The following is a 16,121-nucleotide window of genomic DNA, read 5'->3' on the forward strand; positions in this document are numbered from 1 at the left end:
AGGAAACAAGCCATAGGCCAAAATATGAGAAATAAATATTCATGAGTCCATCCTGATCTAATGAAATGACTACATACATAAGTAAACAAATAAGTAAGTGGGTCCAGGAGGAGGACTCAGCTCTCTCATGCACTTGCACTCCCAGTAACCGATGTAACTCCTCTACCCTGAAGCAGAGAGGAACTCCCCCACTCGAGTGTGGGCTGCGCAGAGTTACTTCCTTCCAAAGAGGACAGGATAGAAGTGGGGACAAAAAGTAACTGTATGGTGGCCAGGTGCAGTGGCTCACGCCTGTAATCCCAGCACTTTGGGAGGCCGAGGTGGACGGATCACCTGAGGTCAGGAGTTTGAGACCAGCCTGGCCAAAAGAGTGAAACCCCGTCGCTACTAAAAATACAAAAATTAGCCAGGCGTGGTGGCATGTGCCTGTAGTCCCAGCTGTTCAGGAGGCTGAGCCAGGAGAATTGCTCGAACCTGGGGGGCAGAGCTTGCACTGAGCCAAGATCACCCCCACTGCACACTAGCCTCAGTGACACAGAGAGACTCCATCTGGAAAAGGAAAAAAAAAAAAATTAACTGTATGGTAGAGAGGCCTGACAAACACTCCCTCCACCAAGTAAGATCAAGGTCATCATGGACAGTGCTGTCACACTGATACTGTGTGCCCTTGATCTGACAGGATGAAAGTGACACTTTACCTCTGTCTTCCTCCCCCTAACCTCAGTCTGATCATGAGAAAAGCAGCAGAAAAGTCCCAATTGAGGAACAAACTATCAATTCCTGGCCAGACTCTTCAAAACCATCAACGTCATCAAAAACTAGGAAAGTCTGGCCGGGCGCGGTGGCTCCCGCCTGTAATCCCAGCACTTTGGGAGGCCGAGGCGGGCGGATCACGAGGTCAGGAGATCCAGACCATCCTGGCTAACACAGTGAAACCCCGTCTCCACTAAAAATACAAAGTTAGCCGGGCGTGCTGGCGGGCGCCTGTAGTCCCAGCTACTCGAGAGGCTGAGGCAGGAGAATGGCGTGAACCCGGGAGGCAGAGCTTGCAGTGAGCCGAGATCGCACCACTGCACTCCAGCCTGGGCAACAGAGCAAGACTCCGTCTCAAAAAAAAAAAAAAAAACAAAAACAAAACAAAAACAACAAACAAAACTAGGTAAGTCTGAGAAATGGCCACAGCCAAGACAAGCCTACGGAGACTCGAGGACTTATGAATGTGGTGTTCTGGCTGAGATTCTGGGACAGAAGAGAGGCATTAGGGGAAACTGAGGGAACCCAAATAGACTATGGACTTTATGTAAAGGTAATATATTCCTACTGGTTCCGTCATTGTGACAAATACACCATACTAACGTACAAGGTTAATAATGGGAAGAATTGAGGAATATATATTCTGTGCTATCTTCACAACTTTTCTGTACATATAAACGTATTTTTAAATAAAAAGTTTGTCTAAAAAAATAAACAGGGAACAAGCTGGAGAGGCTGCTCTGTTTAGCACCCTGGAAAAGGGTAAGGACTCTAGACTTGCTGGGGGCCATGTAGGAAGTAGGGGGACCCACAGTAACATCCGGGAAAAATGTGGGGGTCATTCTGAAAGATCATCTTGGTCTGGTTTTTCTGGCTTGTCTTCCTGTCAACGTGGGAATGGATTTGGGGTTTAGCTAGAACTAAACATATGACTCACTTGTCTGTGAATAGCAAACTTTTCTCCAAATAAGCAGAAAAAATATGTTTCCTTGAGCGTTTACTAGGAGCACGGTGTTTGTGGGGAGGACTGTGAAGCCACAGCAGACACCCTCCATGCATGTGGACCGTGGGGTCTCCTCCACCAAGGTGTGGATTCCATCTGCACTCGCCTCGATCCTTGGGAGCTCCCTGGAGTGCGGCCCCTTGTGCAGGCGACTGGGACTATGAGAGCACAGGCTCTTTGCCATGGACTCACACAGTCCCCATATTCTTGTGGATTCTTGTGGATTCTTGTGTCATTTCGAAGTGAGAATGCAAGGACAGTCCTATTTCATGCTGTTCCAAGGCCAGAGTGAACTGTGTATCACCACTTGGTTACTTCTCTTCCCACTAACAAGGTGGGGCTCACACTACAGTCACCAGACTGAAAAAAGGAGGTGTAAGACGTCATGGGAAAGTGCATTTGGGTTATCCAACCGTGGAGGCCAATGTTCAGATAACCCACTGAAGCGGGTGCCCAGGACATGGTTGACGCTGAGCTGGGGGCTATCATAGGTGAGGTCTGTGTAAACTAGAGAGATGTCTGAGGTCTCCCTTCCTCCTCACTCTGGTTATTTTTATCTGAGGCTTTTTTTTTTTTTTTTTTTTTTTTTTTTGAGACAGAGTCTTGCTCTGTTGCCCAGGCTGGAGTGCGGGGGCATGATCTTGGCTCACTGCAACCTCCGCCTCCCGGGTTTGAGTAATTCTCATCCCTTAGCCTCCTGAGTAGCTGGGATTATAGGCACCAGCCACCACGCCCAGCTGATTTTTGTGTTTTTAGTAGACACAGGGTCTCACCCTGTTGGCCAGGCTGGTCTCAAACTCCTGGCCTCAAGTGATCCACCTGCCTCAGCCTCCCAAAGTGCTGGGATTATAGGCGTGAGCCACCGCACCCAGCCTGAGGCTTTCTCATTTTAGTCAAGAAAACAAAACAAACCCACTCTGGACTAATTGGAAAAATGTCTGTCATATATGTGTTTGTATTCACCTAGGTTGGAAAAAGGTTTTGTCCTGGGATTTGGTGGGAAGAATAAAGGTTCTCTTGGGAAAAAAAAAAAAAGAAGAATCAAGAGAAACAATTTTCTTTCACTTGGAAAGGTTTGCAGTTACTTTCCTATCCCTGAACAGGACTCAGCTTTCATCCTAAAGCACCGTTCAGCTTAGAAATTCTTTGACTGTTCTGATTCACGGCTCTTTATTCATTATTATTATTATTATTTAAAGCAACATGTAAGAAAGGCACCAGGCCACCTCATCTTTGGGGCAAAGAGAAATTATTCTGCATGTCAAGTTTATCAAATATGAGAAGAGCCCTGACCTCTTGGCTGCCTAGGCTGTATTTTAAGTGCAGTTACGTAATGTCTTGGCCCAACTGACCCTGGGTGTGTTTTCAAAAACCCTTGTTTTATTTGCTGACTCACCAGGCTGAGGCACTTAAGAGCTAAGCATGTAATTTCTTTTGAATGAATATGAGGTGGTAGTGGCTCCAAAATTAGAGTATCCAGAAACCAGGGAATAATGATGTAACTACTGCACAGGTCACTATGTAAAACTTGAGACTAAGAAGGGAAGAGTGCCCGTCCTAGTCTGGCTCAATGTTAAATATTTTGGCACATACTGCAAACAGCATTAAGTCGCTTTTCTGGGAGTTTGTAGGAACTGCCTCTTTTCCTTGTGAACTTTTAGCATGTATAATAATCTGTCTGTATTTTTCTTCTTTTCAAAATATCCTTTTCCCATTCATGAGCAACCACAATAAAAATGCATTTGAGTTATTTGTTAAAAGCTCACCTCTCTTAGAGGCAAAATGCTGCGGTGTAAAATTGAACATTTTTTTCCTTACTATCTATAATTCCATGAGTTCCCATTTATAATGCCTGGCAGTGGAGTAAGTAGTCTTTTTTTTTTTTTTTTTTTTTTTTCTATTTTGAGTCTCACTCTGTCGCCCAGGCTGGAGTGCAGTGGCGCAGCTCACTGCAAGATCTGCTTCCCGGGTTCACACCATTCTCCTGCCTCAGCCTCCCAAGTAGCTGGGACTACAGGCGCCCACCACCACGCCCGGCTAATTTTTTTGTATTTTAGCAGAGACAGAGTTTCACCATGTTAGCCAAGATGGTCTCGATCTCCTGACCTTGTGAACCACCCACCGTGGCCTCCCAAAGTGCTGGGATTACAGGCCTGAGCCACCGTGCTCGGCCTGGAGTAAGTACTCTTTAAACATTGCTTGGTAATGCTCTTGATATTGATAAAATTGACTCTTGCTGGGAGAATGCAGGAGGATAGAAAAGAAAACTATTCATTCATGTATCTAGTGAACACATAGCCGGGCCCTTGGTGGAGATGGGGATATGTTACACAGGACCCTAGAGACAGTGAGACGCTTGTATTGACTCAAGATGCCATGTGCCCTTTTGTTCATTATTCAGCCCATCTAAGTCTATTTCTATATCCGTGTAATGGGTCAAATGAACGTCCATGAACATTACCTTAATACAGCCACTTAGATGATTATACCTACTATGGACACTTTTGGCTGTATACTGGCACTTTCAGTGGGTACTACGAATGAGGTCCCAAACCAGAATCCCAGTGGATCCTACAGACATGTTAGTGGAGGACCTGGAGTGACCCAGGATAGCCCAGGAAGAGACAGTGGTCCTGCAGATTGATAGTGAAGAGAGCTTCTAAAGAGGTTGCAATGAACTCTGCCCAGACGAAAATACCACCAAGAAGGGGAAAATGAAAGCTAGAGACTGATAGCAAGGACGGTGGAGAAGACAAACTCGACTGGCAGAGGGTACCGGAACCCTGGACGTGGGCCTGCCAGCCTAGGAAACTGCTGCTTCCAGATGCCATTCCTGGTAGTGCTCCTTGCGGGTCCATCTGCTGTTACTGGGGCTTCTGTTCTGGTCACCACGCACACGGCCCTATGGTGAGCAAGAAGATTGAGCAGCCTATAGTGCAGTCTATGTCTAAGGCACTGGACGCAGAGCTTGAGGAGGGGCAAATATGAACTCACGGCACAGGGACAGCCATGAAGAGATGGATATAGGGCTGAGGCATTAGGGTGACTATCCTCACTTCGCTCACCCTCAGGTCCTCAGGTTCTTCTATCTCTTGATTTCTACTAAGTTTTAAACCCACTGGCTGGGCACAGTGGCTCACACCTGTAATCCTAGCACTTTGGGAGGCCAAGGCGGGAGGATCACCTGAGGTTAGGGGTTCGAGACCAGCCTGGCCAACATGGTGAAACCTCATCTCTACTAAACATACAAAAATTAGCTGGCGTGATGGCAGGTGCCTGTAATCCCAGCTACTCAGGAGGCTGAGGCAAGAGAATTACTTGAACCCGGGAAGCGGAAGTTGCAGTGAGCCAAGATGGTGCCACTGCACTCCAGCCTGGGCAACAGAACAAGACTCCATCTCAAAACAAACAAACAAACAACCAAACAAAAAACCCACTCTTGTGCTAGAAGTGATCCTCTTCCTCTGAACTAAATGTTTCCTGACCCCAGGAGAAGAGCGCAAGTGGGCTGAACCTGGCCTTCCCTCACCAGGACCAACTGAGGTTGGAATTCAGGCACCACCACTTTGTGGTATGTGCCCTCAGGCCAGATGTGCAACCTCTCTGAGCACCCCTTTCCTCATCTGCAAAATGGGAACAATTTCAATGCCTCTGGAAAGCAGGAAGAATTCAATGAACTACTCTGCATAAAAAGTCATTTTGAGAATTTATTCCAGCTTTTCAGAAGAAGTTAGCCTTCATTGCTGCTTCCACCAGGCAGCCTTCCCAGCTACCCTCCCTCCAGGGTAGTTTCTTTTCAACTTTGCTTGAGCTTCCTCATTATGTTGCTTTCTTCCATATGTTTTTCAGGATGAAATTAATGTCTTTTCTTCCTCAGATGCCTACAGTGCAGCATGCAGCTCTTCTTAGAATCTGCTTTGTGTTGTAATTATTTTGTTTATGGACCATGTCCTCTCCCTAAACAGGAACCCCTATAGGGAACTGTGGCATAAGAGAGAGTATACTTAGCCTGTGTCCCTAGTTCCAGGCACAGAGCTTCAAAAACCCTTAGAATTTTGTAAGTGATAGAAGTGTCTTTCATGGGAATGAGGTGACTCATGTGGGCCCCTAAATAGCTTCAGGATGGGATCTGGCCACCAGAAAAAAACAATCAAGTGATCAGAGAGTTAGGCTTTCTGGTACCAGATCTTCAAAAAGGGGAGGTGGACTGAAGATTGAGTTTAATCATATGACCATTGATGTAATCAGTCATGTCTACATAAGGAATCTCCAATAAAAACTCTGGATACCAAAGCTAAGTAGAGCTTCTTGATGAGTGTCTGGATGTTTCAGGAGGGTAACGTGCCAACACCATAGTGAGAGGGCATGGATTTGGGATCCTCCCAGACCTCACCCTTCATAATGAAACTGCAATGTAAGTATAGCACATTCTTGAGTTCTGTAAGTAGTTCTGATGAATCATTGAACCTGGGGTTGTAAGAACTCCTAAATTAATAGCCATTTGGCCAGAAGTACAGGTGGATCTGGTGACCCCTTGAAGTGTGGCTGGCATCTGAAGTGGGGACAACTTCATGGAGAACTTTGCTCTTAGCCTACGGGGTCTGTGCTAACTCCAGATAATTAGTGTCAAAATTTTATGCAGTACACCCAGTTGGGGTGGAAATGGAAGAGGAAGAGACTAACATAATAATAATCTTTGTGCTCCACATCAGGAATGGATAAATATGTCAGACTTAGAAGAGCTAATTTAGGCTGGGCATGGTGGCTCACACCTGTAATCCCAGCACTTTGGGAGGCTGAGGCAGGTGGATCAAGAGGTCAGGAGATGGAGACCAGCCTGGCCAATATGATGAAACCTCGTTTCTACTAATAATAGAAAAATTAGCTGGGTGTGGTGGCATGCACCTATAGTCCCAGCTAATTGGGAGGCTGAGACAGGAGAATTGCTTAAACCCGGGAGGCGAGGTTGCAATGAGCCAAGATTGTGCCACTGCACTCCAGCCTGGGTGACAGAGTGAGACTCCATCTCAAAAAAAAAAAAAAAAAAAAAAAAAAAAAAGAGAGCCAATTTAATTTTTGATATTCATATGGACATTTGTTATTTCTTTGGCCTTCCTCTGTTTGGGGACACCCCTGATATTGGAGTGTTGGTGGTAGAGTCTGGCTCTCACTACACCTGCTGAAAAGGCCAGATAGTCTCTCCTGCAGCCAGGACAGGGTCACATGACTTTGGCTCAGCCAATATGATGCACTCACCCTCAACATTCCATCAGGAGCAAATGTTTCTGATAGACGCAACACCACCAAGCTTCCCAGGACAGAAGTAAAGCCTGAGGTGGGCAGGGGTGGTGGTGGGGTTGTGGTGGGTGCAGTATCCAGCGGCATGGGGACAACTACAGTGCCTAGTGTTCAGCAGGGATGGCAGTGGTGCCTTTACCCACCTTGTTCTATGGGGTGATTTTTGGTCTCTATGACTGAAGCTTTGTTTGTTTACTTATCTGTTTTGTAATTTTATTGAAACCACATACTCTACTTCTACTCTTTAATAGTTACTCTTGAAGATAGCCAAATAGGAGCAGCTCCAGTCTGCAGCTCCCAGCAAGATCAACCAGAAGGCAGGTGATTTCTGCATTTCCAACTGAGGTACCCAGTTCATCTCATTGGGACTGGCTGGACAGTGGGTGCAGCCCACAGAGGGTGAGCTGAAGCAGGGTGGGGCGCTGTCCCACCTGGGAGGCACAAGGGGTCAAGGGATTCCCCTCTCCCAGCCAAGGGAAGCTGTGAGAGACTGTACTAGGAGGAACAGTGCACTCCAGCCCAGATACTGCGCTTTTCCTATGGTCTTTGCAACTGGCAGACCAGGGGATTCCCTCCGGTGCCTAGGCCACCAGGGCCCTGGGTTTCAAGCTCAAAACTGGACGGGGGTTTGGGCAGACACCGAGCTAGCTGCAGGAGTTTATTTTTTTTCATACCCCAGTGGCACCTGCAACACCAGCGAGACAGAATCTTTCACTCCCCTGGAAAGAGGGTTGAAGCCAGGGAGCCAAGTGGTCTGACTCAGTGGGTCCCACTCCCACAGAGCCCAACAAGCTAAGATCCACTGGCTTGAAATTCTCACTGCAGCATAGCAGTCTGAGGTCGACCTAGGACCCTTGAGCTTGGTGGGGGGGAGGGGCGTCCACCATTGCTGAGGCCTAAGTAGGTAGTTTTACCCTCACAGTGTAAACAAAGCCACCGGGAAGTTCAAACTGGGCACAGCTCATCACAGCTCAGCAAGGCCACTGCGGCCAGACTGCCTCTCTAGATCCCTCCTCTCTGGGAAGGGCATCTCTGAAAAAAAGGCAGCAGCCCCAGTCAGGGACATATAGCTAAAACCCCCATCTCCCTGGGACAGAGCACCTGGGGGAAGGGGCAGCTGTGGGCGCAGCTTCAGCAGACTTCAACGTCCCTGCCTGACAGCTCTGAAGAGAGGAGCGGATCTCCCAGCAGTGTCTGATCTTTGATAAGGGACAGACTACCTCCTCCAGTGGGTCCCTGACCCCCCACGTATCCTGACTGGGAGATACCTCCCAGTAGGGGCCGACAGACACCTCATATAGGAGAGCTCTGGCTGGCATCTGGCAGGTGCCCCTCTAGGACGAAGCTTCAGGCGGCAATCTTTGCTGTCCTGCAGCCTCTACCAGCAATACCCAGACAAACAGGGTCTACAGTGAACCTCCGGCAAACTCCAGCAGACCTGCAGTAGAGTGCCCTGACTGTTAGAAGGAAAACTGACAAACAGAAAGAAATACCATCAACATCAACAAAAAAGGACGTCCAGACACAGAAACCCCATTTGAAGGTCACCAACATCAGAGACCAAAGGTAGAAAAATCCATGAAGATGGGGAGAAATCAGTGCAAAAAGGCTGAAAATTCCAAAAACCAGAATGCCTCTTCACCTCAAAAGGATCACAGCTCCTTGCCAGCAAGGGAACAAAACTGGATGGAGAATGAGTTTGACGAATTGACAGAAGTAGGCTTCACAAGGTGGATAATAACAAACTCCTCTGAGCTAAAGAAGCATGTTCTAACCCAATGTAAGGAAGCTAAGAACCTTGAAAAAAGGTTAGATGAATTGCTAACTAGAATAACCAGTTTAGAGAAGAACATAATTGACCTGATGGAGCTGAAAACAGAGCACAAGAACTTCAAGAAGCATACACAAGTATCAAAAGCTGAATCGATCAAGTGGAAGAAAGGATATCAAAGATTGAAGATCAACTCAATGAAATAAAGTGAGAACACACGATTAGAGAAAAAAGAGTGAAAAGAAACAAAGCCTCCAAGAAATATGGGACTATGTGAAAAGAACAAATCTACGTTTGATTGGTGTACCTGAAAAGTGACAGGGAGAATGGAACCAAGTTGGAAAACACTATTCAGGGTATTATCCAGCAGAACTTCCCCAACCTAGCAAGGCATGCCAACATTCAAATTCAGAAAATATAGAGAACACCACAAAGATACTCCTTGAGAAGAGCAACCCCAAGACACATAATTGTCAGATTCACCATGGTTGAAATGAAGTAAAAAATGTTAAGGGCACCCAGAGAGAAAGGTCGGGTTACCCACAAAGGGAACCCTATCAGACTAATAGCGAATCTCTCAGCAGAACCCCTACAATCCAGAAGAGAGTGGGGGCCAATATTCAACATTCTTAAAGAAAAGAATTTTCAACCCAGAATTTCATATCCAGCCAAACTAAGCTTCATAAGCAAAGGAGAAATAAAATCATTTACAGACAAGCAAGTGCTGAGAGATTCTGTCACCACCAGGCCTGCCTTACAAGAGCTCCTGAAGGAAGCACCAAATATGGAAAGGAACCACCGGTAACAGCCACTGCGAAACCATACCAAATTGTAAAGACTATTCATGATATGAAGAAACTGCATCAACTAACGGGCAAAATAACCAGCAAGTATCATAATGACAGGATCAAATTCACACATAACAATATTAACCTTAAATGTAAATGGGCTAAATGCCCCAATTAAAATACACAGACTGGCAAATTGGATAAAGAGTCAAGACCCATTGGTGTCTCACGTGCAAAGACACACATAGGCTCAAAATAAAGGGATGGAGGAATATTTACCAACCAAATGGAAAGAAAAAAAAAAGCAGCAGTTACAATCCTAGTCTCTGTTAAAAGAGACTTTAAACCAACAAAGATCAAAAGAGACAAAGAAGGGCATCACATAATGGTAAAGGGATCAATGCAACAAGAAGAGCTAACCATCTTAAATACATATGCACCCAATATAGGAGCACCCAGATTCATAAAGGAAGTTCTTGGAGACCTACAAAGAGACTTGGACTCCCACACAATAATAGTGGGAGACTTTAACACCCCACTGTCAATATTAAACAGATCAATGAGACAGAAAATTAACAAGGATATCTAGGACTTGAATTCAGCTCTGGACCAAGCAGACCTAAGAGACATCTACAGAACTCTCCACCCCAAATAAACAGAATATACATTCTTCTCAGCACCACATCACACTTATTCTAAAATTGACCACATAATTGGAAGTAAAACACTCCTCAGCAAATGCAAAAGAATGGAAATCATAATAAACAGTCTCTCAGACCACAATGCAATCAAATTAGAACTCAGGATTAAGAAACTCACTCAAAACCGCACAACTACATGGAAACTGAACAACCTGCTCCTGAATGACTACTGGGTAAATAACGAAATTGAAGCAGAAATAAAGATGTTCTTTGAAACCAATGAGAACAAAGATACAACGTACCAGAATCTCTGGGACACATTTAAAGCAGTGTGTAGAGGGAATTTTATAGCATTAAATGCCTACAAGAGAAAGCAGTAAAGATCTAAAATCAACACCCTAACATCACAATTAAAAGAACTAGGGAAGCAAGAACAAATTCAAAAGCTAGCGGAAGACAAGAAATAACTAAGATCAGAGTAGAATTGAAGGAGATAGAGGCATGAAAAACCCTTCAAAAAAAAAATCAATGAATCCAGGAGCTGGTTTTTTGAAAAGAACAAAATAGATAATATGCTAGCCAGACTAATAAAGAAAAGAGAGAAGAATCAAATGGATGCAATAAAAAATGATAAAGGGGATATCACCACCAATCCCACAGAAATACGAACTACCATCAGAGAATACTATAAACACCTCTACACATATAAACTAGAAAATATAGAAGAAATGGATAAATCCCTGGACACATACACCCTCCCAAGATTAAACCAGGAAGAAGCCAAATCCCTAAATAGACCAATAACAAGTTCTGAAATTGAGGCACTAATTGATAGCCTACCAACTAAAAATAGTCCAGGACCAGATGGATTCATGGCCGAATTCTACTAGAGGTACAAAGAGGAGCTGGTACCATTCCTTCTGAAAGTATTCCAAATAGATAGAGGGAATCCTCCCTAACTCATTTTAGGAGGCGAGCATCATCCTGATACCAAAAACCTGGCAGACAAACAACAAAAAAAGAGAATTTCAGGCCAATATCCCTGATGAACATTGATGCAAAAATCCTCAATAAAATACTGGCAAACTGAATCCAGCAGCACATCAAAAAGCTTATCTACTACAATCAAGTCAGCTTCATCCCTGGGATGCAAGGCTGGTTCAACATATGCAAATCAATAAATGTAAGCCATCACATAAACAGAACCAAAGACAAAAACCATGATTATCTCAATAGATGCAGAAAAGTCCTTTGACAAAATTCAACACCCTTCATGCTAAAAACTCTCAATAAACTAGGTACTGACGGAATGTATCTCAAAATATTAAGAGCTATTTATGACAAACCCACAGCCAATATCATACTGAATAGGCAAAAACTGGAAATTCCCTTTGAAAACCAGCACAAGACAAGGATGCCCTCTCTGACCACTCCTATTCAACACAGTATTGGAAGTTCTGGTCAGGGCAGTCAGGCAAGACAAAGAAATAAAGGTATTCAAATAGGAAGAGAAGAAGTCAAATTGTCTCTGTTTGCAGATGAAATGATTGTATATTTAGAAAACCCCATCGTCTCAGCCCAAAATCTCCTTAAGGTGATAAGCAATTTCAGCAAAGTCTCAGGATACAAAATCAATGTGCAAAATTTACAAGCATTCCTATACACCAATAACAGACAAACAGAGAGCCAAATCATGAGTGAACTCCCATTCACAATTGCTACAAAGAGAATAAAATACCTAGGAATACAACTTACAAGGGATGTGAAGGACCTCTTCAAGGAGAACGTCAAACCACTGCTCAAGGAAATGAGAGGACACAAACAAATGGAAAAACATTGCATGCTCATAAATAGGAAGAATCAATATTGTGAAAATGGCCATACTGCCCAAAGTAATTTATACATTCAATGCTATCCCCATCAAGCTACCATTGACTTTCTTCACAGAACTGCAAAAACTACTTTAAATTTCATATGCAACCAAAAAAGAGCCTGCATAGCCAAGACAATCCTAAGCAAAAAGATCAAAGCTGGAGGCATCACATTACCTGACTTCAAACTATACTACAAGGCTGCAGTAACAAAAACAGCATGGTACTAGTACCAAAACAGATATATAAACCAATGGAACAGAACGGAGGCCTCAGAAATAACAGCACACATCTACAACCATCTGATCTTTGACAAACCTGACAAAAACAAGCAATGGGGAAAGGATTCCCTATTTAATAAATGGTGTTGGGAAAACTGGCTAGCCATATGCAGAAAGCTGAAACTGGAACCCTTCCTTACACCTTATACAAAAATTAATTCAAGATGGATTAAAGACTTAAACGTAAGAAACATAAGACCTAAAACTGTAAGAACCCTAGAAGAAAACCTAGACAATACCATTCAGGACATAGGCATGAGCAAAGACTTCATGACTAAAACACCAAAAGCAATGGCAACAAAAGCCAAAATTGACAAATGGGATCTAATTAAACTAAAGAGATTCAGCATAGCAAAAGAAACTATCATCAGAGTGAACAAGCAACCTACAGAATGGGAGAACATTTTTGCAATCTACCCACCTGACAAAGGGCTAATATCCAGAATCTACAAGGAACTTAAATTTACAAGAAAAAAACAACCCCATCAAAAAGTGGGTGAAGGATATGAACAGACACTTCTCAAAAGACGACATTTATGTGGCCAAGAAACATATAAAAAAGCTCATCATCACTGGTCATTAGAGAAATGCACATCAAAACCACAATGAGATATCATCTCATGCCAGTTAGAATGGTGATCATTAAAAAGTCAGGAAACAACAGATGCTGGAGAGGATTTGGAGAAATAGGAATACTTTTACACTGTTGGTGGGAGTGTAAACTAGTTCAACAATTATACAGTGTAGCGATTCCTCAAGGATCTAGAACTAGAAATACACAGATACAGAAAATCAAACACTGCATGTTCTCACTCATACTGGGAGTTAAACAATGAGAACACATGGACACAGGGGTGGGGGTGGGCATCACACACCGGGGCCTGTCAGGCGGTGGGGGGTGGGGGAGGGATAGCATTAGGAGAAATACCTAATATAGATGATGGGTTGATGGGTGCAGCAAACCACCATGGCACGTGTATACCTATGTAACAAACCTGCACGTTCTGCACATGTACCCCAGAACTTAAAGTATAATAAAACAATTACATGAAAAAAAAAGAGAACACAAAATTGAAAAAACAAAACAACAAAAAAAGTTACTCTTGAAATTTTGCCATACATATATAATTTAACAAAGTCTAAAGCTGATATCTGGATGCCTGTCCTGTAGAATACAAGGACCTTAAAAAACAAATTTTGGCCTGGCACAGTGACTCATGCCTGTAATCCCAGCACTTTGGGAGGCCGAGGCAGGTGGATCATGAGGTCAGGAGATCGAGACCATCCTGGCCAACATGGTGAAACCCCGTCTGTACTAAAAATGCAAAAATTAGCCAGGCATAGTGGCACACACCTGTAGTCCCAGCTACTTACGAGACTGAGGCAGGAGAATAGCTTGAACCTGGGATGTGGAGGTTGCAGTGAGCCAAGATCATGCCACTGCACTCCAGCCTGGGTGACAGAGCAAGACTCTGTCTCAAAAAACAAAAACCTTAAACTTTGATTATCCTTCTTGGCCTATAAAAGCTTTCATTGTCTTACATTTTAGTTCAGTTCTCTATTTAAAGCCTAACAAGAAGCTACTGGCCCGGCGTGGTGGCTCACACCTGTAATCCCAGCACTTTGGGAGGCTGAGGTGGGTGGATTGCTTGAGTCCAGGAGTTCAAGATCAGCCTGGGCAACATGGCAAAACCTTGCCTCTAATAAAAAATAAAAAAATTAGCCAGGCATGGTGGCACGTGCCTGTAGTCCCAGCTATACTGCATTCCAGCCTGGGCAATTGGAGTGAGACCCTGTATCAAAAAAGAAAAAAAAATGGAGCTATTATTACTACGACCTTATACAAATAATGCTAGTTTAGATTTTGCCTGCGGGCTCACTACCCCTCCTTGCATTTCACACTGTCTTTCTCAGATCATTTTCCTTCCTTTTGAAGGACATCCTTTAGTTGTTCCCTTAGCACTGTGTCTTTTGATAGTAAACTCTTGGTGTTTGTTTTTATAAAAATGTCTTTGCTTCATTTTTCATGTTTTTGAAACAATTTTGCTGGGTACACAATTATAGTGATAATTTTTTGGCACTTTGAATATATTACTCTATGTATTCTGGCTTTTACTGTTGCCTTTGAGACATTTACTCTAATTAGATTGTCAATTTTTCCAAGTAATGTCTTTCTCTCTGGCTAAAGATCTCCTTGTTTTTGGTATTCTGTAGCTTAACTATAATGTGTATCCGTGTGGATCTTGTTTGTCCTTGCTTGGTCTATTTTGTGCTCATCTCTGTGGATTCATGCCTTTCATCACTTCTGGAATATTCTCAGTCACTATCTCTTTGAATATTGCTTCTGTTCCATTCTCATTGTTCTCTCCTTCTGGAACTCCTACTAAATGTATTTAGAACATCACATTTTATCGTCCACATTTATTTTCTGTCTTCTTTCTGTATCTCCTTATGCTGCTCTTTTGAGTAGTATCTTCAGATCTGTCTTCTAGTTCACTAATTTTCTCTTCATTTGTCTCTAAACTTCTATATATGCATATGCATGTATATCTATATGTATATCTAATCTGTCTTTATTGAGATATAATTCACCTCCCATACAATTATCCCATTTAAAGCCTACAATTCAGGCCGGGTGCAGTGGCTCACACCTGTAATCCCAGCACTTTGGGAGGCCAAGGTGGGCAGATCACCTGAGGTCAGGAGTTCGAGACCAGCCTGGCCAACATAGTGAAACCCCATCTCTACTAAAAATATAAAAATTAGCTGGACATGGTGGCATGCCTGTAATCCCAGCTACTTGGGAGACTGAGGCAGGAGAATCTCTTGAACCTGGGAGGCAGAGGTTGCAGTGAGCCAAGATGGCACCACTGCACTCCAGCCTGGGCGACAGAGCTAGACTCTGTCTCTAAATAAACTCTACAATTCAATGGTTTTTAGTAGATGCAGAGTTATGTAACCATTACTACAATCAATTTTAGAATCTATCACGCCCAAAAAACCCCATATTCATTAATTGTCACTCCCCATTTCCCCCACCACCTTCCTCCTCTTCACCTACCCTAGGAAACCATTAATCCTCTTTTTGTCTCAATAGATTTGCTTAATCTGGACAATCATGTAAGTAGAATCTTACCATATGTAGTCTTTTGTGACTGGTGCCTTTCATTTACCGTAATTCTAACCTGCCTTTTAAATCATCTGTTAAATTTTTCACCTCAACAACTGTTTTAAATTTCTGTAAGTTTTATTACTCTCCTTTTCATTTTACCTGATCTTTTCAGTCTTTTTGCTTACTTTTGTGATTCTATCTTTAAGTATTTCATATGTAGTTATGCTATTTTCTGATCATTCTTGTAGCTGAAGTCCTTGAGCTTCTAAATCTGCTTCTGCTGATTCCTACTCATGGTAGTTTGCTTCTCTGTATATTTGGTGATCTTTAATTGGAAATTGACATTTAGTTTATCTTAATTTGTGAAAAATCAGAGGTTTTCATTCAAGAGAAATTGCATAAGCTTCTGCAGGAGTCAGGGTGCTTGAGACCACAAGGTCCCTTAAGGGACTGACTTAAAGAGGCTTGGTTTCATCTCCACCCCCCTTGCTGCTCACAATGCTGATCATGAAACTCACCCTCACCTGTGTATGTGTGCTAACCACTCACTCACCTCAGCCTGAAGCTCTTGGTATGTGTATATGGGTGTATGTCTAGATGTAT

At 43.4% G+C, this 16,121-nt stretch overlaps 1 protein-coding gene across 2 annotated transcripts in view, besides 1 other annotated feature; it reads right to left on the bottom strand.

Annotated features, from left to right (window-relative positions):
* Positions 1-16,121, bottom strand: part of PGPEP1L (pyroglutamyl-peptidase I like) — a 39,564-nt gene that overhangs the window by 12,152 nt on the left and 11,291 nt on the right. The gene's annotated exons all lie outside the window — the stretch shown is intronic.
* Positions 1,697-1,746: an enhancer, noted in NCBI's record as "active region_10145". NCBI's record gives its function as "activates an Ori minimal core promoter by ATAC-STARR-seq in GM12878 lymphoblastoid cells {active_cell/tissue: GM12878}" and the evidence as "EXISTENCE:reporter gene assay evidence [ECO:0000049][PMID:35858748]".

The sequence above is a fragment of the Homo sapiens genome, chromosome 15 (assembly GCF_000001405.40).
Source record: "Homo sapiens chromosome 15, GRCh38.p14 Primary Assembly".
Classification (NCBI taxonomy): domain Eukaryota; kingdom Metazoa; phylum Chordata; class Mammalia; order Primates; family Hominidae; genus Homo; species Homo sapiens.